Source organism: Homo sapiens, chromosome 2, assembly GCF_000001405.40.
Source record: "Homo sapiens chromosome 2, GRCh38.p14 Primary Assembly".
Classification (NCBI taxonomy): Eukaryota; Metazoa; Chordata; class Mammalia; order Primates; family Hominidae; genus Homo; species Homo sapiens.
The window spans coordinates 158,233,073-158,258,633 of NC_000002.12; the positions used below are offsets into that span (position 1 = coordinate 158,233,073).

The 25,561-nt window shown below is 36.9% G+C and overlaps 1 protein-coding gene and 1 long non-coding RNA gene across 3 annotated transcripts in view; one reads left to right on the forward strand and one right to left on the reverse strand.

The window, feature by feature from the left end:
• Positions 1–3,097, forward strand: part of CCDC148-AS1 (CCDC148 antisense RNA 1) — a 69,520-nt gene extending 66,423 nt beyond the window's left edge. The window contains exon 5 of the long non-coding RNA NR_038850.1: positions 2,658–3,097. This is a non-coding gene — a long non-coding RNA (CCDC148 antisense RNA 1). The remainder of the gene's footprint in view (positions 1–2,657) is intronic.
• Positions 1–25,561, reverse strand: part of CCDC148 (coiled-coil domain containing 148) — a 285,681-nt gene that overhangs the window by 62,000 nt on the left and 198,120 nt on the right. For both annotated transcript variants that reach the window (NM_001301684.2, NM_138803.4), the window contains one exon: positions 17,700–17,840. In NM_001301684.2, coding sequence (NP_001288613.1) covers positions 17,700–17,840 — 141 coding nt within the window. The remainder of the gene's footprint in view (positions 1–17,699; positions 17,841–25,561) is intronic.

The window sequence follows — 25,561 nt, forward strand, 5'->3', positions numbered from 1 at the left end:
TACTCTGACTTGATTATTACATGTTTTATGCTTGTATCAAATATCCCAGGTACCCCAGAAATTTGTACAATCACTATGTATCAATTATTTAAAAAGATCCCCTTTCTACTTTTGGCCTGGAATATGCAACTCCACACAAAAAGTATGTTTTACATATACATAGCATTGTTATATGTAAAAACATAACAGGATGTCTTAATAGAAAAGCATTCTTTTTTTACTATAATTTTTCCCATGTACTTCATTTAGATCAATGATGGTTCCTGTACCCCCTAAAATCACCACCAATTGAAGTATGACTCCTCTTTCTATATGATCAATTTTACAATTATCTATATTTTGCCACATAGTTTTTACAACTTTGTGTGAACTTCTGAATGGTAAGGAGCATGCCTTATACTATCATGTTTATTTGTATCTAGTATTGCACCTTTCAGATGAGAGATACAAGGTATACATTTGCTAAACTGATCCAATGAAAAAGAATATAGAAAGATAGCATTGCCCAAAATACTTTTCTTATATCAGCTCATATGAATCCAAAAACATCTGGATAGGCAACTTTTCAAACAGTGAGCCAGTTCATTTAGCCAGTTCATGCAGGGGTTTGGAGGTGCATTTAATCCCAACAGAGAATGGGGACCTGGTACATCTCTAGGTCAAACTGCTCATGGAAGCCAGATTAAAGGTATTCTATACTTAGTCATTCCTACTCTCAAAACCTTTCAGCCAACATTACCTCTTCTGTAGTTTGATGGTATAGAGATCTCCGTGTGCTTCAACCTGGGACTGGCTTAAGTTTCTGAATAAAAAATTGGCTTCAGGTTGGGTGCAGTGGCTCAAGCCTGTAATCTCAGCACTTTGGGAGGCCGAGGTGGGTGGAGCACGAGGTCAAGAGACAGAGACCATCCTGGCCAACATGGTGAAACCCTGTCTCTACTAAAAATACAAAACTTAGCTGGGCATGGTGGTGTGTGCCTAATATCCCAGATACTTGGGAGGCTGAGGCAGGAGAATCACTTGAACCTGGGAGACAGAGGTTGTAGCGGGCCGAGATTATGCCATTGCACTACAGCCTGGGCAACAGAGCGAGACTCCATCTCAAAAAAAAAAAATTGACTTCAAAAGAATTACCATCCAGGGCATTTATTATGCAAAGATGGAAAAACTCTCTACATGAGTAAGAAAACAGAGTTAATCCTTCGTTTTCAAAATAGAAAGTCAATTTGGCAACCATCCTGCCTGGTTATTTGAACTTAATGGATCTCCTTTCAGTCTGCAATTAAAACTGTTTGCGTTTCAGCTACTTATCAGTGCCTTAAACTTGAACATTTTAGCAACCAATCTCCAAGGTGATAAACAAGCTCATTTACCTCTGGTAGGAGGGTAAATTGTCATACTTTTTCTGAAGAATAAATTTTTAAAAATAAAAATAAGAAAATAACTAGTAAAAATCTTAAGAATTAAGAAATAAACTTTTAAGAATTAACAGGCAGGAATCTATGCAAAGATTTATAGGCAGAAATGTTCATCACAACCTTAAAAGGGTGAAAAATTGGAAACAATGTAATGATCCCAAGTTGCAAGATTTGCAAAATGCACTATTCTGATGTAACACTATGCAACCACTAAAAATTATGCGGCAGGAGAAAAAGGGGAAAATATGCAAAATGTTGGTCAATAAGAAAAAAATCTTGTTAAAAATAACATATATAGTGTGATTCTAGTTAAATTAAAGTTCTTGGATATGTAGAAAAAAGAGTGTAAAGACACTGTTAATTTTCTTTTGGCAGTGGTTTAGGATTTTGGGTGATTTTTATTGTATTTTGTATGCTTGCTTGCATTTTCCAAATTATCTACAATGGACATAAAATACTTTATAATTACACAATGGGGCCTTCCAGAGGGTGGAGGGTGGAGGAAAGAAAGGATGAGGAAAATAACTAATGGGTACTAGGCTTAATACCTGGGTGATACAATAATCTGTACAACAAACACCCATGAAACAAGTTTACCTACGTAACAAACCTGCACATGTGCCCCTAAACTTTAAATAAAAGTTAAAAATAATAATAGTAATAACTACAAAAGTATATTGTGTATATTATGTGTAAGTATATTATGGCCAGTTTTTATAATGTCTGGCCAAGGAAATTAATATTTGGGAGGAGCATGTAAAGGGCATAACTATTATTCATTCCTGAAGTTTCCAAATTCTATTCCTGTATCAGGTCAAATGACAAGAATCCTACATATATTCCTATATAACATTTTTCTTATCACCTTGCATGTGGCAGCAGTTTCATTTTCTGTAGAAAAGTTTCAAAGAATCATGATTTAATTTTATGCCACAGGTCTTATAAAGGCTGGTACAATCTCATAAGAAGATTGACTTAGGCTCTTGTAAAATTTCTACTGAAAATGCTATCCATTGAGTGGGTTGTACTCCTCCTCCCAATACATGCTGCCAGCTGCTGATCTGCTGGTATGTTCTCTATTATTAGCAAATAAGAGCTATATGTTTCCCTTTAACTTTAACCATGTTCAATTACAACACCCTTCTTTAGTCTTGTTTGCTGACATAATGATATTCCCATTCCCTTAATTTCTCATCTTTTATTCTTTTACTGACTTTCTATTTTAATGATTCCTAATAGGAAACAGATGGCACACTGAAAATTAGGATAAGTTAAGAAGAATGTAATAAGCGGACAACCGACAAAGGAGGGTGGGAATGCAGGGCAACCGCAAGGGCTCATACAGTGCTGGGTGAGGAGGACCCCTGACGGGAGCTGAGATCTTTGGTGAAGGACACAACTGGTCAGTACAACCCTGCAGGGCAAGGAGCTGCAGAAACAACTATCCAAACCCCACACCTCTCCCTCACCTTGATCTCCCATGTTCCACTTCGGCTGAACCAAACCAAAAGCCAGAGGGCAAGGAAGCCATGTGTGAAAACTGTGCTACAGAGCAGAATGGAGAGTGATACGACTCAGGGAGAAGATATCCAGCACTAAAGTATTAATGCCTTTTATTATAAATTGTTTGGAAGTAGATGATGTCTATATGCATAAATAAATAACACTAATCTCTTTTAGGTGATGTTTACTTTGGTCACTTATGTGAGCATTTTCCCATAGCAAAGCTTCCCACTCAAATTGGCAGTAAGCTATTTTCTGCTGTGATGCAGTCCCATGTCCTTATAACATGATGAGCCAAGAAAGTATTCTTGGGTAAACACATTAGTTATCTCCCCCTTAATTGAAATGCCAGGTGGATTAAAAAATAACTGTCATGTCTTCTTTAGGAGGAAGGTCTGTTTTCAGTATGGGCATTGAAATATTGCATAATGATCATGTCATATGTTGATATGGCTGAAATGAATTTGCCTGTAATCCTGTTTAATTTCTCTCTTTTCACTATTCATTAAGAAGGGAGTATATAGACTAAGGATGTTGTATTTCAAAACCTGAAGTGTCAGAGAGAGTGAAAAGTGAAAAGTAATCAAACCTGAGTCATTCAATCATGACTTAGAACCAAGGTGATTTTTGCAATCATTTAATCAAAACACCTCATTTTACAACTAAGGAGGCAAAACCCACAGAGCCTACATAACTTGCTAAGGTCACCGCTCTTGTTAAGACCTCTCAGCTTGGCATGCTTTCCTCTACACCATAACATCAAAGGAGAGTGATATACTTTTCATTCATTTAATTCATTTATTCAATCACTAATTTTGAGTGCCCTGTGCCAGCACTGGGGCTAAAGCAATAAAGAAACTAGACAAATTCTCTTTTCTCATGGGGCTTACATTCTAGAAGTGGGAGTGAAGATAGTCAATAAATAGATGTCGGGAGTGACAAGTGCTAAGGAAAAAATGAAGCAGGATAAATAGATAGTGACAGAGAAAGAGGATGCCATTTTTGTTGGGCCATCAAGGACTTTCTTTCTAAGATGACATTTGTGCAGGACCCTGAATGCTGTGCAGGAGTGAGTCATGCAGACATCTGGGAGAGCAGTGCTCCAAACCTGAGCAAAAGGCTGAGAGGACATATGCTCGAGTGTTCATGGAGTAGGAAGTAGGTTGCTTGGGCTGGAGCTCAACGATGGGAAGAGGAGTAGGATATGAGATTTAAGAAGTATCGGAGCAGAGCAGAGAGGTAGATCACACAGGGCCCTGTATGTCCCTTCTAGACTTCTAGATTCTATTCTGAGTAGAATGGGAAGTCATTGACGTGTTTTCTGCAGAGCAGTGACATGATCTAAAGTGAGTTTTAGAATGATCGGTCTGCCTACTGTGTGGGAAACTGATTGGAGAGGCAGAGTGGAAATGGAAAGGGAGGGGACATATTAATTAGGAGATTAGGAAGCTATTATAATAGTCCTAATTATATTTTAAAGGTACAGCCTTCTATCCATGCCAACAGGTAAGCGTATAAGGGCGGAAACAGAAGTCAGAGAGGATACCAAGCCTTTCGGCCTGAGTGCTAGCAGACTAGATTTCCATTTACTGAAAAAAGAAAAACTAGGGAAAGAGTATTTTGGAGACAAAAGCAAGAATACAGTTTGGGAATATTAGATTTGAGGAGTTAACACATATGAGTTTGGAGTTCAAAAGAAAAGTCCAGGCCAAAGGTATGAATTGGTATTAGGAAATAAATGGTATACGAAGTCATATGGATTGGCTGAGATCATTACAGAGTACACATACTGAGAGGACTGACCCCCACCCTGCCACCCCAGGAGACTCCAAAGCTTAGAAGATGGAACGGTGAGGAGTTTACTGAGAGGAAGATACCAGTAAGACAGAGGAACAAAGAAAGAATGGCTTCCTAGAGGCCAAGGGAATCAAGTTTTCCAAGGAGGAGGCAGTGATCAATTCCATCATAATAATTCAAGTAAGGTGAAGACAAAGAATTGATCATTGAAATACGGAGGTAAGCAATGATGTTGGCAAGTGCGACATTGCTGGAGCGGAGGGACAAAATGGTTCAAGAGGGAATGAGAGGAGAGACACTGGAGACACTGTGTATAGGCCAGGGAATGATGAGATTTTCTGAAGAGGGCATGTGGGATCAAGGGAGGGTAGTTTATAGATGAAGGTCATAATGGTGTATTTTTAGGGTACCTGGAAAGAGCTAGAAAAAGGGGGATGGTGGTGGGAGAGAAATTGGGATAAACTTGAGCAGGAGAAGGGGGACAGGATTCCATGCACAAATGGAGGGACTAGCCTTAGACAGGAGCATGACACGTCATGCACTGTAAAAAGAGGTAAGGGGAGGTAAGGGGTACAGATTCTGAGAGGTGGGCAGATGTCATATTGGAAACCTGTGGAAATTCTCTTCTTGTGAAATATGATGTCAGTAGGAAAAGAAATCACACCAAAATCATTACATTTTCTTCAGTCTGCTTAACAAAAGAATGGCACTGAGGAGGCGATGAAGAAGGTATTTTTTATCTGTTCCATAACACATGTCTTGATACTTCAACTATGATCATATTATAATGGTCTGGTGTCCTGTAAGTGTTTACACATCATAATTCATTATCTCAGAGGGAAGAATCTTGAAAGAATTTTAAGAAGAGTAGGGAGACAGACATAGTAAGCAGTGTGAACTTTTAGAACACAAAAGAAATTCTACTAGAAAGCAGGCAGGTACTAATAAAGAGTTTTAAGATTATCAATTACCTAGCCACTGAATAGTTCTGAGTAAACCAGGACAGGACCAAAGCCATTAAAGCGACCCGAAAGTAAATAGTTTGAAACTGAGATTTCTCAAAATTAATTAATCACAAAATTAACAGCACACAGCAATCATGATGATGGGGAGCATAGCACAGTGTCTAAAATCATACCGGTCAGACCACTCAGGTTCAAATCCTTACTGCACACTTAATGTTCATGTGACTTTGGGGAAATTACATAACCCCTATGTGCCTCAGTTTCTTCATTTATGAAATGAGGATCATATAAGTATCTACCCCTTAGGGCTGTTAAGAAGATTAAATGAACATGGAATACTGCCTTGCACATAGCAAGTACTGTTTAGGTATCTGTTAATTAAATCAAATCCCTATGAATAATCAAGACCTAGCCAGAAAGTACAGTCAAAAATTTATACCTGGAGTTAAATTCAAGATTCTTTCTCTAAAACTGTCTAATGGGAAGTCTTTTCCAGAAAAACAAATACATCTGGCTCCTGATTATCCAGGCTTTCTCTCTCTCTCTCTCTCTCCCTCCCCACCCACCCCTGGCTTTTTCTTAAAACTATGTCCTGACAGAGGGTAGAAAGATTCCATCAGCTTTTCTACCTTTTAAAAAGATGCTCTAGTGGAAGTTTTTATTTTTACAAGACAGCTGAAACCAGAAAAGTGAGCTTCTCGGATTACCATTCTACCATCTGTGGGTTACCACCACAACTTTTCTGTTACCTATTGACTCATATACTGTACCAAGAGTTGACCGTGTGCTCAGTCTCATGTTAGAAGGTTAATTTAATTTAAATTAATAAGGTTGATTTAAATTAATAAGTTAATTTAATAAAATAATGTTTATTTCTAAGTTTTAATAACAAAACAAGGAACATTATGAACATTTAAAAATTAGATGATCCCTAGTTTATTTCTTCTGCATAATTAAACCTCCTATTCTACTTAATTTCTTCACACATACAATAATACTAAAAGAACCAATATTAAATCTTCAGAAAATAAGGTCTGAATCCCAGTTTACTTGGGAGTCTTGTCTACAAAAAACATATGCTATCGTCTCCTTTTGACCATTATATTATCCTGATAATTAATTTACCAATTAGGTTTTTTTTTTCTTTAGTTCCCATGTTTGCAGTACTCCATCAGATTCCCAAAGAAAAAGACTAATAACTAAATAAAAAATACTCCCTTAAACTTTGCAAGATCACATGTCTAGGAGTTATTAATTGAAAGAATCACAAAAGGGAGGGTAGGAAGCAGTTAATCAGAGTGGCCCTCAGCCAAGTGGGGACACTTCAGCTCTACTGGCAGCAAGTTCTTTTGCAGTGAGGATGCTTGCTGTGAGAGATCTCGGTGGATGGATGTTAGAGCCAAGCCCAAGTTGGTGTTCAGAGTGGTTCAAAGACATGTTTCCAGGGTCTAAGAAGTCTATGAGAGTTCTTATACTCCATATTCTCAGGTTTACAAACATGTAAAAAGAGTGCTATAAGCCAACTTTAGATCATCTGAATGACACTGTACTATTGAGTCCTGCCATGGGATTTTTGTGTTCACATTTCAGGTGGCCCTAGTAACATATTATATAAACTGACAATATTTACAGTTTAAGTCATGTTTGTCTAACTGGGATCCAGTTAGATCACTCTCTCTTTCTCTCTCTCTCTCTCTCACACACACACACACACACACACACACACACACACACACCTCTTTAAAAGAAGTATCAGCCTCTCTGTTACACAAGGTTAACAAGGAGAGTCATGAGGGAAAAGGACCTGGAAGAAATGGATGACCTGGGCCAGGATCAGCAGGTACCATCTCACAGGGACCTCTCTGCTATGTGCTGGCTTCCAGGCAGCACTCTGATTTTCCCACCGCCTGAAGCCCTGAGATCTGTATCACTCTCCCTCAACAGCAGAGCATTCGATGGAGATGAAAGGCATTCAGTCACAGGCAATCAAAGAAAACTGCAGAGGACAGTCCCATATCCTGCAATTCCTACAGTACACACACGCCTGCAACAATTAAAGGCCTCAATGGAAACAGGTAAATTAATAGAAAGAGAGTTAATAAACCCTATTGGAGTCAGTTAGGGCAAAAAGTCTATACTCTAAGGCCTGAACTTTGATTAGCTATAGCAAAACTAATCACTTCTGTTAGCATAAGAGTATTCACACTAGGAAGCAGTCAGACCAGCATGGGTGAGTGTGAAGACAGATGCCCAAATTACAGTTTGATGATACTGGAACAGGAAATAAAAGGAGGTCTAGGCATGGATGAGAACAAAGGCACTCTCCTAACCGCTCCAACTTAGGTTAATGTTAGGTTAGGTTAGGTTAAGGCTTTGTTGATACTCCCTGAGAAAGCAGGAAGTAAATCTCAAAGTCACACTCTACATGTGTGTGTACACATGCATATACATATATTTGCGTATGCATATATGTATGTATGTATATGCACAAATGTATTTAATTTGCTATATATGGGCATGCTTAATTTAACCAGTAACAAACTCTATATAGTTCATTTTATATTTTTAGTTTTTCTCTATTAACTCTTTTTGTTGTGCTTATAAAGTCTGAAGCTAAAAGATATCCTTCTGTATTATTAATAAGAGCTCCCATTGACCTAAGAATTGTATATCAGTTTGTGGCCGAGCAGGTAAACACCTCCCTTTAAACAGAGATGAGAAAGGGGGCAATTTCTTGAGTGGATGATCTCTTATAATTGCATGAGGTATGGAGAATGGAGGATTGGGTATAATACATGTCACAATAAAGGCACTTGGTATGTACTTATTGAACAAGCAAATGAATGAATGATCATTTTGTTTGGACCCTTAATGCCCCCTTTGGAATTATACACAATCTTATTGTGAATGTATCTTACTAGGAGTTGATACCATTATCCTATGTTAAAGGGTGGGGAGGCTATTGGAAAGGAGGCAAATGCCACATAGTACTATGTGCTGGAGGACATTCGTACCAATACTCAATATAACAGTAAATGAAATATGTTGAGCCATAGTATTTTCTGAAAGGTGACTTTGGGATTTCAAAATAAAACACAGATTAGAAGACTTATGTATATAGTTTACAATAAGGTCAGCAAGTCATGAAACTTATGAAGTTAGTATATGTTTTATTTGTTTGAACTATTTAGGTGCTAATCAGTACATTTTGTTGATGATTGCCACTTAGAACCATAGGATGTACTTACTAATGAGTCAAAGATTCTTTGCTTTAAAGTGGATAACTATTTCTGCATGCCCTATGCTGTAATTAGAACATTTCTTCTTACTTGACCTTTCAATGGATTCCACTGTCACTAGTGTTGGTATAGTTCTGCCATTCTAGAGACATTCTGTTACTTGGTAAAGAGTAACCAGGCAAAGAGAAAAAGAACTGTATTCATGACAATAGTTTCTGAATCAGCATTAAAACCACTGCCTCTCATTATTATTATCTTTATCTCGTTTCTACCTTTTCTATTTGGTTCTCATGATTTTTCTAACTGCCTTCTGCTCTACCATTCCACTGGGGTAACAATAATAAAAGTAACAATTAGAACATCATTTACTGAGGCCTTTCTAAGTGCCAGCCACGTGCAAACTGCTTCACATGCATTTTCTTATCATACAAATGCAAATAGCACACAGACACAAACACTGAAATGGAGAAAAAGTAATTTCCCTCAAGGCCCCACAGTTAAGAAGTGGCAGTGCTGGAACTCCAGCTCAGGTCTGAGGGAACGCAAAAAGCCCCATGCTCAATACCACCCTGAGCCATTCCCCACTTGCAGTGGGCTCACTGAATTCATGGCCTTCCACATCTGCTACCCACTCTGTAGTTTTTTTTTTTTTTTCTCCTTCCACCATGGCTCTTCTTCATCTTTATTCTGGTAAATACATCCTCTTAGATCAACTCCAATACCTCCATATCTAGGAACTTCTTGGCTCAGGTCTTAATGAGGTTGTTAGTGAACCATTTAGTTATAGGTTTAAGGCCAACATATAGTTGAATAAAGGTGTCTTTGGACTGCTCTCCTTCTATTGAGCCTTTAGTGAAATATCATTTCAGTACCATGGATGTACCAGGGGATATGGAAGCTACCCTATACTCTTCTTAGGGGGAATGCTCATCTTCCACTCCTCACATAGCTGGGAACTTCCTCTCCCCAGGAGGGTTCACAGTATGGCCTGTCATTCTGATTGGCAAATGTGGGAGAAATGACTGAACAAGTTCAGCTCAGCCCTGTCTCTCTCTTAAAATGCCGTCTGTCTTCAGGCGGCACTTTCCCCTTTCTCTGCCTTGCAGTAAGTAGCCTGTGCTTTTACAGGAGGATCTGGATAGTCACAGCTCTTTCTGAGCCTAGAGAGGTGGGTTTGTTCAATGATGGAAGTATCAAAAAAATGCAAGGGGCCACAGGGGCCAGCCACAGTCTCTAATACCTGGGCTATTAAATTCTGCCCTCTTGGTTCAAGGGTCATTCGTCCTTCTTCTTGAATGGTAGTAGGCACTTGCATTTGAGTCGTTTTATCAGCCTGCCTCCCATCACTATAATCAAATTTTGGGGGACTATTAGCCCATTTTCACATCATACTCTCTCTGTCCCTTTCAGTCCAAGCTGGCAGTGTTTCTAATAAAATTTTCCCAAGAACCCAGCAGGACCTCTGTGGATTTTTTGGGAATTCACTACCTCAGACAAAAGCTATACCACAATCTTTTTGAAATAATCTCGTCTCTCTCGGTCTCCTGCCGAGATGGCTGAGGGATACCACTCTTAAGCTTCCTGGAGGCCTGCTAGTTTGAAAAGATCCATGAGAAGCACCGTTGATCTCCCAGAAGGGTCTTTTATATAACTAAATACTCTGACTTTTGATCTTTTCAAGACTAAAACAAAGGACTGTATATTCACACCTCAGTCTGTTCTTCATGCCATACTGTTGGCAGTAATTTGTTAACTCTAAGATCTTTTCCAATCTAGATAGGTCAAGAAGTCCCCAAAGCATCAAGTCTTGATCCTTTTCACTTAAATTTCTTCCTTCTATTTATCTCTTTTCTTTTTACTATAAGCAGCAGAAAGAATCCAGGTGGCACCTTCAACATTTTTTTTTTTTGATATCTTAGTTCATCAACTAGGAAGTTCATTTCTGGTTAATTTGTTTTCCATCTAACTGCAGGACATGACTGCCCTAGGCTTTCTGTCACCACATTAACAGTGATCCATCCTAATTTTTCCAGTTTCCAATAATACATTCATTACTTCCTCCTCAGCCCTCACCAGTCACGTTGTTAACATCCATATTTCTACTAACAGTTGATTCAAGGTATTCTAGCATTTTTCTATCATCCTCAAGATGACATCCTTAAAATTCTTCCAGCCTCTTCCCACTTATGAATTCCAAAGCCACTTCTGCATTTTTACGTATTTGTTATGGCAGCATTTCACTTCCAGATACTAAAATCTGTATTAGTTTTTTTTAAATCGTTGTTGTATAAAAATTGCCTCAAATTTAGCAGCTTAAAACAACACTCACTTGCTAGCTCAGAATTCTGTAAACCAGAAGTCTAGCATGGTGTGGTTGGGCTCTCTGCTTATGGTATCACCAGGCTGAAATCAAGGTATTGACAAAACTGAGTTCTCACCTGGAGAAAAAATCTGCTTCCAATCCCATTCATAAAAGTCCAGTTCTTTATGGCTATGGGCCTGTAGGCTATAGGTCCCATTTCCTTGCTGGCCATCAGCCCGGGCCACCCTCATCTCCTTGAGGCCACCACATTCCTTGCCATGTGACTCCCTCAGTCTTTTATCTATCAATGGTGGTCACATCCTTCTCATGTTTCAAATCTCTTACCACCCCAGTCTGCTATCACTCTGCCTTTAAAGGGCTCATGTGATTAGGTCAGGACCACTTGATAATTTTAAGGTCTTCTGTGCCATATAATCTGACCCAATCGTGGGAGTAAAATCCACAGTATTTATGGTCTGGTTGATTATACAGGCCACGGCTGGAGGGTGAGTAGGGGATCCTATAGCCCACCTTAGAAGCCTACTTATTTTGGTGTTATTCATTGACCGACCCCTTTAAATTCAACAATCCTGAAAAAGCAGAGTTTAAAGCCTGGGAATTTTTTAAAAAATCATTCTTCTGTGCTCACCATTTTTTCTACTCTTAGCTCTTTAGATCAGTATACTATTAGAATAAAAGATGCTGGAGAACAGATTTTATAATGTCATGATTCATTGCCCTGATAAGAACCTACAAATTCCCACACTGGGAGAATGGTTCAGATCTGAAATGGGGAGGTACTCTGAATTCTCTCCTGTGCAAGAGCTTCTGGAGTCTTCTGAAATAAGAATGGTTACAGTCCTTTAACCTGCATTCTGTTTATGACAGTCTACTGGTTTTTGTTTTAGACTATTTCTCCTCTTCTTGGTTCTCTGCAGGAAACATGTAATTTGGGTATTATGAGATCCCCTGAGGGGGTGGGGGAACACCCAAGTGCCAATGTTCTACCAAAGCCATGTCTTTTGGTATTTATTGGTATGATGTTACAAGAAGCTAAGAATTCACAAAGTGGCAGATCCCTCCCCAGAAAGATCTCTAAGGTAAGGCTGAAGGTCACAGCAGAGGTATCCTGATATCCTTGAAAATGCTCCCCACTCCTCAATTGCACAAAGTGTCTGGTGTGCAGATTAGGAGTTGGCAAAATTAGAGAGAATTTTGAAACGCTAGACGAGGGGAGAGATATGTCTTCTTTTTATGTGAGTCTTGCTAAAATCTCCATTTTGGAAGTGAGGCTAGAACCATCCTTGTAATGGATTCTGTGGAACTCTAAACTAGGCATCATGCAGCAACAACATCTCCTAAACCTCAATAATGCAGAGAAATTTTTCTGTGATTTAAGCTAGACAAAGAGCCACATCTAGAGAAAGGGTGGTATGGGAACCAATATTATATAAGGTCCATCTAGCAAGGAAATTTTGTTTCTTACAATAGCTCCCAGGGATCATTTATAGAGAGGTGTTATCTTTTGATTTTATCATGACAACAATTTCAGAAATAGAGAGATGCTCCTGAAAAACATCAATATCATCTAACAACTTAGGAATCAAAACTTTCTTTGAGTCTTAAAACTATGAAAACTGTAACTATTATATTCAACTTGAGTTTTAAAGCATAGAAGAAAAAGTGATTTAAGGAGCTGGGCAACTGCAAGGGTAAAATTAGCATCGAATACAAACCAAAATATTATTCCAGTAAATTGGTCATAACAGACAAATTGCTGGAAAGAAGAATTAGGAGGAAGATTACCTCTTGTTCAGAAATTGTATGGTGGAGTTTTGCACATGGCACAGTTTCTCTGCCTCTACTGCCAGTCCCTTAGGAAAAGGGAAAGCCAGGTAGATGAGACAGCAGATGGGGGGAAAACAGAGCACCAGCTACCAAAGCAACACCTCTCATGACAGCAGGGGGCTGCTGGTGTAATTTTCTGCCAAGCTGCTGTTAAACGCTGAAGAACCAAAATGTATCTCCAACAGTAAAATAGTTAAAACAAAGATAATCTAGGTTTGTGGTGAGTATATGTAAAGACAGCTAGAACTTCTGGTCAGTATCTCTGAGTTGACATGGAAATCTCCTTTCCTACCTCAAACACATAGAAATGCTGGACAAACTATAACACAACTACACACACACATACACGCACACACACTGCCCCAGTGCCAAAAATAAACATGGAACCTAAAGTCAGAGCAGTCAGAGAGAGCTGAAGCCTAAGGACTTGAGGAAAACTGGGACCCAGTATAGGTCTGCATAGCTGGTGGCCGGGCCTTTAACATTTGTCATGGGACCTGTGCTCACGGGAGCTGGAATCAAGCTACTTAAAAATAGCACAAAGTCACATAGGACTTGTCCAGATACAAAATAGGGACTAGATACACCATAATCACTCTCTGCAAAAGTTCCAGGGAGACCAGAGAAGAAAAGGGTCAAGTGCAGAACCCCAGACCAGTGCTGTGCACTAGCCCTAAATCTGATGCACTCTAGGCTCACGGCATAGTGTCCCAAGTCTAGAAACTGATAGGAAAATTGTTTCCAGGCCAAAGGGTAAAATGCATATGACCTTCAACAGAGACACATGTAAGAGCCACCTGTAGAGATGCTCTTGCTACCAGGTCACAGTTCATGAAGAGAAGCATAATTCATAAGAAACAGTTTAATAACCTTGATTACTTGAGCGTTTTAAATTTCCATGGCAATATAGATACTGCAGGCAAAATTAAAAGGCAAATGACCAACGGGTGAAAATACATGCAACCCATATAACTACAAAAAGAAATAGTATCTAGAATTTATAAAGAGCTTTTACATATTAATTTAAAAAATGGATTTTAAAAGTATGAATAAGTGAGTTACAGAGAAAGAAAACTCTCCAGTAAACATGAAAGATTTTCAACCTCACAAATGATCATGGAAATACAAATTAAAATATTTATAAGATACTTTTAAAATTTATCAAATTGACAAAAGTAAAAAAGCAAAGTTGTAGTATCTTATAAACCACCCCCCAAAATCTTATAAAGTTGAAAGTATATGAATCTACAACACAGTTATTCTCCTTCTAGGTACACCCTAGTGAAAGCCTGAACACACGCATCAGTACAAGCTGGCTGCTGCAGCACAGCCTATACGAACAAAACTTTGGAAACTTAAATGTCAACCACCAAAGAGAATGGATAAATGCTAGCTCACTTCTACTACGGAACACTATGTAGCAATTAAAAGGCCGGGCATGGTAGCTCACACCTGTAATCCCAGCACTTTGGGAGGCTGAGGCGGGCGGATCATCTGAGGTCCGGAGTTTGAGACCAGCCTGACCAACATAGTGAATCCCGTCTCTACTAAAAATACAAAAATTAGCCAGGTATAGTGGCGGGCACCTGTAATCCCAGCTACTCAGGAGGCTGAGGCAAGAGAATCACTTGAACCCTGGAGGCAGAAGTTGCAGTGAGCCAAGATCACGCCATTGCACTCCAGCCTGGGCGACAGAGCGAGACTCTGTCTCAAAAAAACAGAGTGAATTAGGTCTATGTGTATTACTAACACAGGTATATTTATATTTTTATTTTACTTTAAGTTCTGGGATACACGTGCAGAACATGCAGGTTTGTTACATAGGTATACATGTGCCATGGTGGTTTGCTGCACCCATCAACCCATCATCTAGGTTTTAAGCCCTGCATGCATTAGGTATTTGTCCTAATGCTCTCCCTCCCCTTGTCCCCCACCCCCTGAAACATAGACATATTTTTAAAACACTGCAGAATGACATAGCATGATAGTGTTCATGAAAAAATTAAAGTCACAAATTATATGTCAAAATATCTTAAAATCTATATATGGCCTGGAAAGATAGAAGTAAAATTCCTGATCATGATTGTCTCTGGGGAGGAAAGAAGGGAAATGGTACTGAGGAAGTTCTCAAAAGAGGATTTCAACTTTATCTGTAATATTCTCTCCTTTATTTAAATTTTAAAAATCTGAAACAAAATGAAAAATGTTAACATTTTAATGCTAGCCAATGTGTACTAATGTCTATATCATATCAATCTCTATTTTAAAAAAATATTTTATAAATGAAAAAGTATTTTAAAAATAAAATAAGTCGTATGCCTTGGTCCTACACAATTGCTAGGGTTTGACCACAACTTTGGCTTAGTTTCCCAAAGCATTGTAATGTCCTCTATACTCTATATAAATAGGACAACAAATTTGATAGGGCACTTCTTATAGTATGTTTTACTATAAAGTACAGGACACTTTATACATGTAACACCCTGCATGAAGCTTAGCAAAATGCAACCAGGGACAAAAATGCATTCTAGGCATGGAGATTTTCATGTTTTTTCAACATGTACTACTTTAATGCTCATAGGTATAGATCACATCTTGCATTCTAAGATGAGGAGAGGATATTTAATTTACACACACAACTAATGATACTGAAATTCTCCTCAGCCTTCATCTTTTCAGGCCTAAGTGTCCTTGTTTTAAGCTGCATTTAGGTTAGCCCTTTGGGTGCCTCAGCCATTAAAATAGCTTAATTCTTCCTTCCATTACTCTGTTCAGTTCTTGTTACAGTGTTTATGAGGCAATTGTCAGCCCCATCTGCAGGCTCAGGAAGCTCTCTCTCTCTCATCTTTTAAATGCCTTTCTCTCACTTCCAGAAATCTTACAAACTAGTGATGTCCCTCCATCCTCTCCTGTGTAGCCATGCCAGTTCCTCAACCCAAACTTAATTGGCACAATTAATTGTACCGACTCCCATTCTCAATACTTGAGTTATTTAATTTGCATGGCTTTACCTGTCTTTGTAAACCCCCAGTAAATGAAACTGTTTCCAAATCTCTTCATATGACATTTAAGTTGACACCGCATGTAAACAAGTGCCTACGAATATAATACTTTTTGTGGTCACGCTAATTCACAGTGAAGAAATGCTTCGAGGGCCCAAGTAGAGGGATATGCTTTTCAATAACTGTACTTTCATAACAGTAAATAATTGGTAAGTTCCCCTATTCCAGAGATATATAGCTCACTTACATTATTTGAAACGTGATCAATATTTATGAGTTTTGGAGGTACATGTAATTATTCCCTTTAATCATCAACTCTCTTGATAGGGACTTGATAAAACCACCCTATTTACTTCCTTAGAAGCAGAAATCAAATTCCTTTTTGAATTAAAATAAGCACTGTGAAGTATATCTTCTTAGCAGCTGACTTTGTCAAATGATCATATAACTTCTATGTATGTTGTTTTCCACAATGCTGCCTCTACACCAATTTGCTGATTTAAAGTCACAAAACAAATCAATAACAATGACAACTGAAGTACAATAAAATGTGGAAAAACTGGCTTATAGCTTTAAAATACATAGTTCCTTTACCTCTACATATTCAACTTGGAACAACCTCTAGGCATGAGCTTCTTTGACTTAGTTGGTCACATAGTGCAAAACGTCAACCATGTTCACAAAAATGAAAAGTTTGTCCACCAATGACCATGAATTAATTAATCATTCTTGGCACTGCAAGCAGCTTTTCCAAAGAAAAGATTTTTTTTACACCATATAGATCAAGTCAAAACAGGTGTATAGGTTAAAGACATTTCCTTTTACTCTGCTGATCACAAATTAATTGACTTTTTGTGAATTATTTCTACAGAGCTTAGCCACTCCATTTAAAAAATGGTTCATATATCTGATTAAATGTCTAACAAAAATATTTTTATGGCAAATTTCATAATTTTTGTGGTGGGAAAAAACATAAATGCCTAAATAAGTATCTCACATATATATTTAAAACAAAACAACCCTTAAGTGTATTCTATCTTCCATGGATTATCAACAATCACTTCTTTTGGTGTATAGTTTTAAGATTGTGCAACAAATGTTTACTCAAAAGAGGAATGATGAATTTGTGTTAGTAAATGAAAAACAAAACCATCTAATAAACAGCCAAGAAGTAAACTCTAAAGGGCATTTTGACTTTCCATGAATTGCACTGTCTCTAGTATAATATATTCTACCAACAAGGATGTTTTTGGCAATTATTTACCACATTGCCATCAACCAAGACACTATCCCAGCACAGTACCCTCTCATTTTTTGCCACGTCCCTATTTATTACAAGATTTAACAACTGTCACAACCTTGTCTTTTTTTTTTTTTTTAACCTACAGCACCTCTTCTAATCACAGGTACCTGTGCTCACACAAATCAACAAAGTGGGTTCTCCTCCATGTCAACAAATCTTTGAAGCTCAAATAAACTTTTCATTAGATAAAACATTCCACTAGATCTTTATGAATGTTCTCAGAACTGCTTATGAGAATTTCATGCCAAACACCAAGACCAAAAAGCTCAATCAGGCCATTAAGCATTCATTCACACATTCGTATTGACAATAGATTTTTTACTTTTTTTTTCTTCTCTGCTCTTTGCAACAATTCCTTCTTCTTCCACAGTTTCTCTTTCTCCTCTTCCTTTTCTCTTCTTCTGGCAGAAATTTCCATTTCCAGTCTTGCTACCTCTTCTTGGTGGGCTCGCCATTGACGAACCTGAAATAAAGAGAAAAACTTCATTCCAGTAACTATGCACACTGAAGTTATTTCATAGGTCATAATAAGACTAGGCTCTATATCAAGCAGATGTCACTTTTTTTCCAAATAAATGTTTAAATTCTATGTGCACATGACTGTGTGATGTATCTGTGAAACGTGTGTGTTAGGGTTAAAAGGAAAAAGCAACTTTAAAATCATGTAATTAAGGAATTCTTCACCTGGATTCATGGAATAGGGTTCCTAAAGAGTCTATGATTTAACTCCAAAGAATCTGTGTATTCTCATAAATAGTAAGTAAAAATTTCTGGTTTTGCCTATGTTTTTTTTCCCGGAGGTTAAACAACTTTCAAAAATTCTCAAATAATCCTAAAATGCTTAAAAGTTTAAGAATCTCTGCAATATTTCAGCCTTCTTATTTTATAAGAATGGAAAACAGGCCTGAATTAAGATGAAAAATAATTGTAAGACACTTAAAACAACTTTCTGGGTACTGGTATGTGTTATTGGCAGAAGTATACTTGCTACAGCCTTTCTATTGGGTATTAGGTAATATGTAAATATGCGTCACAATATAAAAAATGCATAGCCTTGATCCACAACCCTATTTCCAGAATATTATTTAAAGAGAAGACAATTAACTGGACAAGTGCACAAAAATGTACCCACAGGAATGTGCACTACAGTGCTGTTTAAAACAGAAAAATCGAAAAAGTCTAAAGTCTGGCAGTAAGAGATGGCTTAAATCAATTATGGTTCTTTTATACAATGACTGCCATTGAAAGAGGATGCCATAACTCCATATTCATGGAAATAGAAAATATCCACGACATATTGTTAGATGCAGAAAAGCAGATACAAAGCCACATTTGCAGTATGATCTCATTAATGTAAAATATCAACTATGTATCTATGCATAGAAAGAGATTTGGAAGGGGACTTACCAAATAATGATATTGGTTATCTCTGAATAGAATCACTTCCTGGGATTTAAAAAAATTATTCTTTAAACCTTTCTGTGCTGGGTGACATTTTTTCAATAAGTATTTATTATCCTTGTAAGCAGGAAACCAATGAAACTAATAAAATAAAAACAAATACTTATCTGATCCATGTATACATCTGGCTAAGGAAGCAGACAGCAGGGAAATGTAGAGGTATGCAAAATTCTTTTTATATTAGCATTCCCAGTTAAATACTTCATTTCTTACACATTTCATATAAGCATCATTTATTAATGGTAATATATATGATGAAAATTAAATAAATAAAATGTCAAACAAATACAATTAATTAAAGTGACTCTAAAGTTCATTTTTGCAAAAATTTCATTTTCTAAAGTAATATTTGCCTTGTTTATCAAAATAACCCAGGAAATTTCTACTCCCGTTTTTTAAATACAGTTCAGTTTAGCCCACCTACTGCTTATCCTGTCCATCATATTGACCTTTTTCTTGGGAACCCCATTCCTAGAATAGATCATCCCTGCCTTCTGTCCTGACCTGCTTTCAAACCTTTCCTTTCTGTAATTTATCTTCCATCTTTCACTTGCTACAATTAAAATCAGTGTCCTGTCATCCCATCACGTATTACCAGTGATCTACCCCTAAATACCCAAAAGATAGTTTTCTGTTCTCCATTCCTTGACCTCATGGTGATAGTTGACACTGTTGACCATTGCTTTATGCTTAAAACTTTCCTGCCCAGGTCATGACATTTCTCTCCCCTGTTTCTCTACCAACAGATACTGCTCTCTTCTTCCTGTTTCCTGTGTCTACCCTATAATCCAAACCCTACATTATCCTCTCATTAACCTCCAACCTCTCTATCTATGTTCATTATTTGATGTGCTTATCCCCTTCTAGGAGTTCATTCTATGTTTCTGACCACAAAATTTATACCATCCGCTCTATCTTTTTGTCTGCAATTCAATCCTATGTTAAACTCTTTAAGACTTAGCTTTTTGTATGTACACTTAAAATCCAACATTTCCAAAATTAAATTCAACATCTTTAACTTTGCCATAGCTTCACATCAAACCCTGTGCACCTGCTTCTCCTTTCCAAATATCCTGGTTTGGTCTGTGGAACCACAAGTCACCAGGTAGTTTGGATTTTTTTTATTACTATGTATACACATCAACATGACTGTCTCTTTACATTTTACATCTGACTTGGAAGCTCATACATTTCTTAAGCGCGGATGAATTTTTATTTATGACAAACTAATTTCCAAACCATTGAGCTTGGTCGTAGTTCCCTAGTCCATCCAAAGTCTTTCTGCCAGAAGTATTTAGAACAAGATCAGAAAGTTCAAAAGGATGATGTCAACTGATCAATATAGAATCTAAATAATTTAGTTTTCTCACTACCAACAAATGCCCCCCTTTGATGTAGCTAACACATAATCTCTAAGTAGCGTTCCTCCTCTGCCTTCCCTTATATGGCCATTCCTATTCTTAGCTCATGGAGTGACTCAAAGTACCCCCTGCTTGAAATGCTCTCAGATTTCCCCTTCTTCATAAAATATTCATGGCCTACATCTTCCTTGAAACATTCTACTGCCCATTTTTATCTCTCTTGTCTTATTTCACTGACCATACCATAACTGCTCTCTGAGTATGTTGAATAAAATGTTGGTTTCCACTTAGAGCACAGTCCATGCATTTGCCTTCCCCTTATACTGCCTAGCAGAGTACTGGTACATCACAGGTGCTCAACAAGTAACTTTTATTTAATCCTTCAAAATGAATATTTTAAATGAAGCCTGATAAATAAGAAAAAATGATAGTATTAGAATACACCACTTTGCAACAATTGCTGAAATAATGGATCCTAGTTAATGATCATCAATGACCACTAAAAATTTCATATTAACAATTAATGGGAAACTTTATAATGAATGGATCAAGCTGGAAACAAACATATGGAATAATCTTAACATCACAGAGGAACAAGCAGACATTGCTCCTTCTGATGGAAGCATACAGCATTCCCATGAATTATTCTTGCCAAAAAATAAAATTGAATCTGATCAAAGCTCTAGACCTACCTATCAGGTTACAGGAAATTCAGCCAACAGAGAAACACATTATGCAACAGTATATGGGAACACAATCCACAAAACTAAAATTTGTGAACACTCAAAGAACTTTAACAAATTACAAGAATAAAAATGAGGGATAAATTGATAGACATTTATGGAACATATTAACCAAATGCAATATGTGGTTTATATTTGGATTCTGATGTAAATAAACCAATGTGAAAAGAAATTATGAGATAATTAGAGCTATTTCAATACTGATTAGTTAGTTGATGCTATTAAGTTGATGCTATTGGTTAGTTGATGCTATTAAGGAAATATTGTTAAAGTTTTTAGGTATGATAATAGTATGGTTATGTTCTATAACGTTAGAGATATACACTTTAATTTTAAAGCTAGATACTTAATACTAACAGATTATATGGTGCTTGTGATTCTTACTATTATTTCAAGGGGCAGGAGGGAGTAAGTAAGAATACAGATAAAACAAATTTGACTAACGAATGGATAACTGTTGAAGTTAGGTGATGATAGACTTTCATAGGTTTTAAAATTTTTCCATACTAAAAAATGTATTGAAAAACAAAATAAACTGTAAAATATAATGCATATGCAAAGAGATTTATATAATCAAATACTGTAGTCTCAAGGTTCTGAGGCAGTAGGAAGGAAGATCTGTAATACATTGAAACAGTGAAAAGAAAAATTCAGCCTTTCTGAGCACTGAGACTATTTTTATAAATTTTAATGAAAATAAGTTAGGGTTTTAGAACTACTCTTCTCATTTTTTGATTTAAAACTAAGGGGAATCGTCATTGAATGACCTTTGCATATTATATGATGTCCTGTGATTTAAAGAAGCAAAAGCATAAATCAAAATCTATAAATGGAAAAGATTTCTGTTTCCTAAGGCAAGTATAGCAAGATAATAACCAGACCAATAAAACTAGTATAACCAGTTTACTCACCAATTTATTTAATTTACCCTTCCCTGTCTTTGGCAAGTCTAAATGATGCTTCTTTTCTCCAAAAAAAAAAAAAAAAGATAAAGTTATGTTGATTTTTAAACAGTGATGTACACACCAGAAAATCCTGAAACAGCTGCAAATTCAACAACCAAAAGCCAATAGTTTGTAGATCTTAATACAAGAAAAAAAGAAAAGAAAAGAAAAGAAATGCTGTAAAAAACAAAAAACAAAAACCCTAGAGCAAAGCTTCAGCCTTCAGAAACTAAATTGCTTCTACTTAATATTGGAATCATGGGGATGGTCAGGGACCCGTAGAATTTTACCTGAAGTCAATAATTCACAGCATTATTTCTAATTATAATGGTACCAGGAAAAAAAAAGGGGGGCGGGTAAAGGAAAGAAGGTTGTTGGAAGCTAGAGTGGTAAGATCTTGATAATGAGAAACAGGCTCAGCAGCAATTGGTATCTAAGCAATAAGGCAAAACAACTTTTAAGAATGCACACTGGATAAGATGAAGAATCTGGTGGCAATTGAAATAACCCTTATCCAATGGATCCTCACAGAGATACTCAAGGGATGTGGATGGCTTCCATGTGGAGAGAATGACAAACAATTATGGTATTTTCAAGACGCCTAAGGATAAGAAAGCTGGCAGGTGGGCAAAAGAATCAATATTAGTACAATAGACTAAAGCACAGAAGACTCTGAGTGAACAGTGAGCAAAAGGAAGAATAGCACAGAAGAACATTTTAGTAGTTTTATTTTAAAGGCTTTGCTAATTATATAGCTTTAAAGAGAGTATGTGAACATATAACAATGTAACAATAATAATCACAAAAGAACATTACCACAGTGGCAGCCAGGAGTGTGTGTTATAGGAAAGCATTATTTAAACTACTAACTACAGGGCATTTTTCCAGGTTTTAATTAATACTTTGCTTAATATGCCTACCAAGGGTTGTCTTTGAATGAGACCTTAACCTAACAGAGGATAAATGACATTTAAAATATGCTCGTCTACTGCAAATAATAAATTAATGGTTTAAAATGAAAATGGTTAGTAGCATTACATGTACTCCTCACTCTTAATGTACAGTAAAGTGGTTCAACTGAAATTAATAAGCACACATTCTCAGAAAGAACAAAGTAATAGAAAAACAAAAATGAAGCCCATGAAAACTTCAAAGGTAATGATTGAAATTAACATCAATGAAACAATATTAACACAATTTTACATCAAAGTTGAGAGCTTGAAAACAATTTATTATAAGTGTCAGTATGGCATAAAGGAAATGAATATTGAACATCTGCTTTTGAGACCCATCTTTGTCACCAACAACAATATTGTTACTTTCAGCAAATGGCTCATGCAGTTCTTTCATGTGTTAAAGGGAGGGACTGGATCAGGTTACCCCTATAGTTCATTTAAGTTCTATTATTCTGATACCATATTTTCCTTAGATAGAGAGATCATAATATATGATATGCTCTGCAATTTTCTTCTCCACGCAAAGCTGACTTCAATGAAAAAACATCAGTACTTTGTAAACCTTTTAAATAATAATAATTAAACATTAATATTATATTCTATTGGCCATATTTATGGAAACAGTGTGTGATGTGGTTGTTTTATATGGAAAATCAAAAGAAAGTTACCATCTGAGCAGTGCCTATAACTGACAATAATGAAATATGAAAAATTGCCATTTATGAGAGATTATTCTGTGCCAGGCTAATGTTTTATTAAGATGTTAAACACATGGTATGATGTAATCCTTGAAACAAGCAAGCCTGTCTACTTCACACTTCATCTGCCTAACTTCTACTTATCCTACTCAAGTCTTGGCTCAGATGCCATTTGCTCCAGGAAGGCTTTCCTAACCCACCATGCCCAGATCAGATACCTCTCTACTTCTCTAGCACATTGTCCCTATTCTATTACAGCACGTATCAAGTGTTTGGAATGACCCAAGGGACTGCAAACTTAATAAGGGCAGGGACCAGATCTGTCTTATTCATAGGCTGTCTCCAAAGATTAGCACAGCATCTGCCAGTCAGTAAGGGTTCAATAAGTACTTCTTGGGTGACTGCATGGATAATGCTCTGAAGTTAGATTGACAGTATTTTCTCTTCTGCCTCTTGCATTGATCTTTAAAAAAAAAAGTCTCCCACCAGAGACATGCTACCATTTTCCAACTCCCCCACCGTGAGACTCCTGATCCCTGCTTTCCTCAGTCCTAGCTGTTTCACTGCTTCCTAAGCTTCATCTGTGCTTATCTGATGGGGAAAATAATCAGAAAACTTATCAGGATTTTCAGCAACTAATTTATATTTCCATCAAGATTAGAGGACATGTGTAAAAACTAGCAATCAAATCCCTTTCTCTGTCTTCTCCCTAAATGTTACTATAAGCTTCTAAATTCAGTTCAGCTGAGTAAACTTTAAATTTTCATTTTATTAAATCTTTAACAGTCTGACAGCACCATTAAATATTTTTCCAATGTACCACTGTTTTTCAATATTACCTACCTAAGCTTTTTAATCTTATATATTTCGTTTATGTTTAAACTTTGCTCATGAAATATAGTACCTGTGATTTTGGATGTTATTAAAGCTTTCTATTCTCCATTTGGCATTTCTGCTTAGCAGAAAAATTTTGTCTTTATTCTTGGCTTCACAATTATTCCTTGGTTTCTTAGGTAACTTCATAAGTTCATTTTTTTATCACCTCTCTTTGATAACTGCTTTTCATTTTCTGTGGCCTTTTATTAGTCTTACTCAGATTCTCAAAGATAATGCACTATTATTATTTCGACTGTTCCATGTCCTTTACTTTTCAAATAAAATCTTGCAATGTTTCATTTAATTGGGTCCTGGAGGGTCTAACCTTAGTGTAAAACAAAACTTCTAGAGGAAGAAACAAACTAAATGCCAATAAGCAGAAAATTATCAACAGCTACTTTTTCTGAAAGGATAAAATTTACAAACCTATCAGTCAATTTTATTTATGAAAGTAACAAAGAAACTGGACTAAGGGTAAGAAATTCACTTGCTTCTTGGCTGTGAGATCTTGGGAAATCACTTCCCAGTTCTGGGCCTCAAATCCTCTTCTAAAAATTAAGAGGACTAGATCAGTATTGTCTAAACAATTCATTAACTGGATCATGAAATCAATTTTGTGGATAGCAACTAGCATTTTTTATGCAAGATAATAGAATGGAAAATAACAGAGATGTCAATGTATTAATGCTGTGTCAAGAAATTATTTCCATTCTGTGTGTGTTCATTTGTGATGTAAAATACATTTCTCACTGTAAGTCACAGTCAAAGAAGCTTGAAAAACACATCAGAAAGCTCTCTATAATCCCTCCCAATGCTAAGGTTCTATGGCTCTGTGATAATAAAGACCAACGTTTTTATGTCACCATCATTGAGCTACAGTCTTTCTTCCTTCTGCAATCAACTCAGAAGCACAGCATAGATGAGAAAACCCAGGTTTTGAAATCATAAACCAGAGTTTGAGTCCTACCTCTGTGACCTATTAAAGGTGTCCCTGGGCACACTGTTTAACCACTTAGAACCTCAGGTAAGTGTAAAATGAGATAATAATGATGCACACTTGACAGGGTTGCTATGCAAACACCAACCATTTGAACAAACCAGAAACTCAGGAATCATCCTAACACTGCCTGTCCCTGACACTCCAT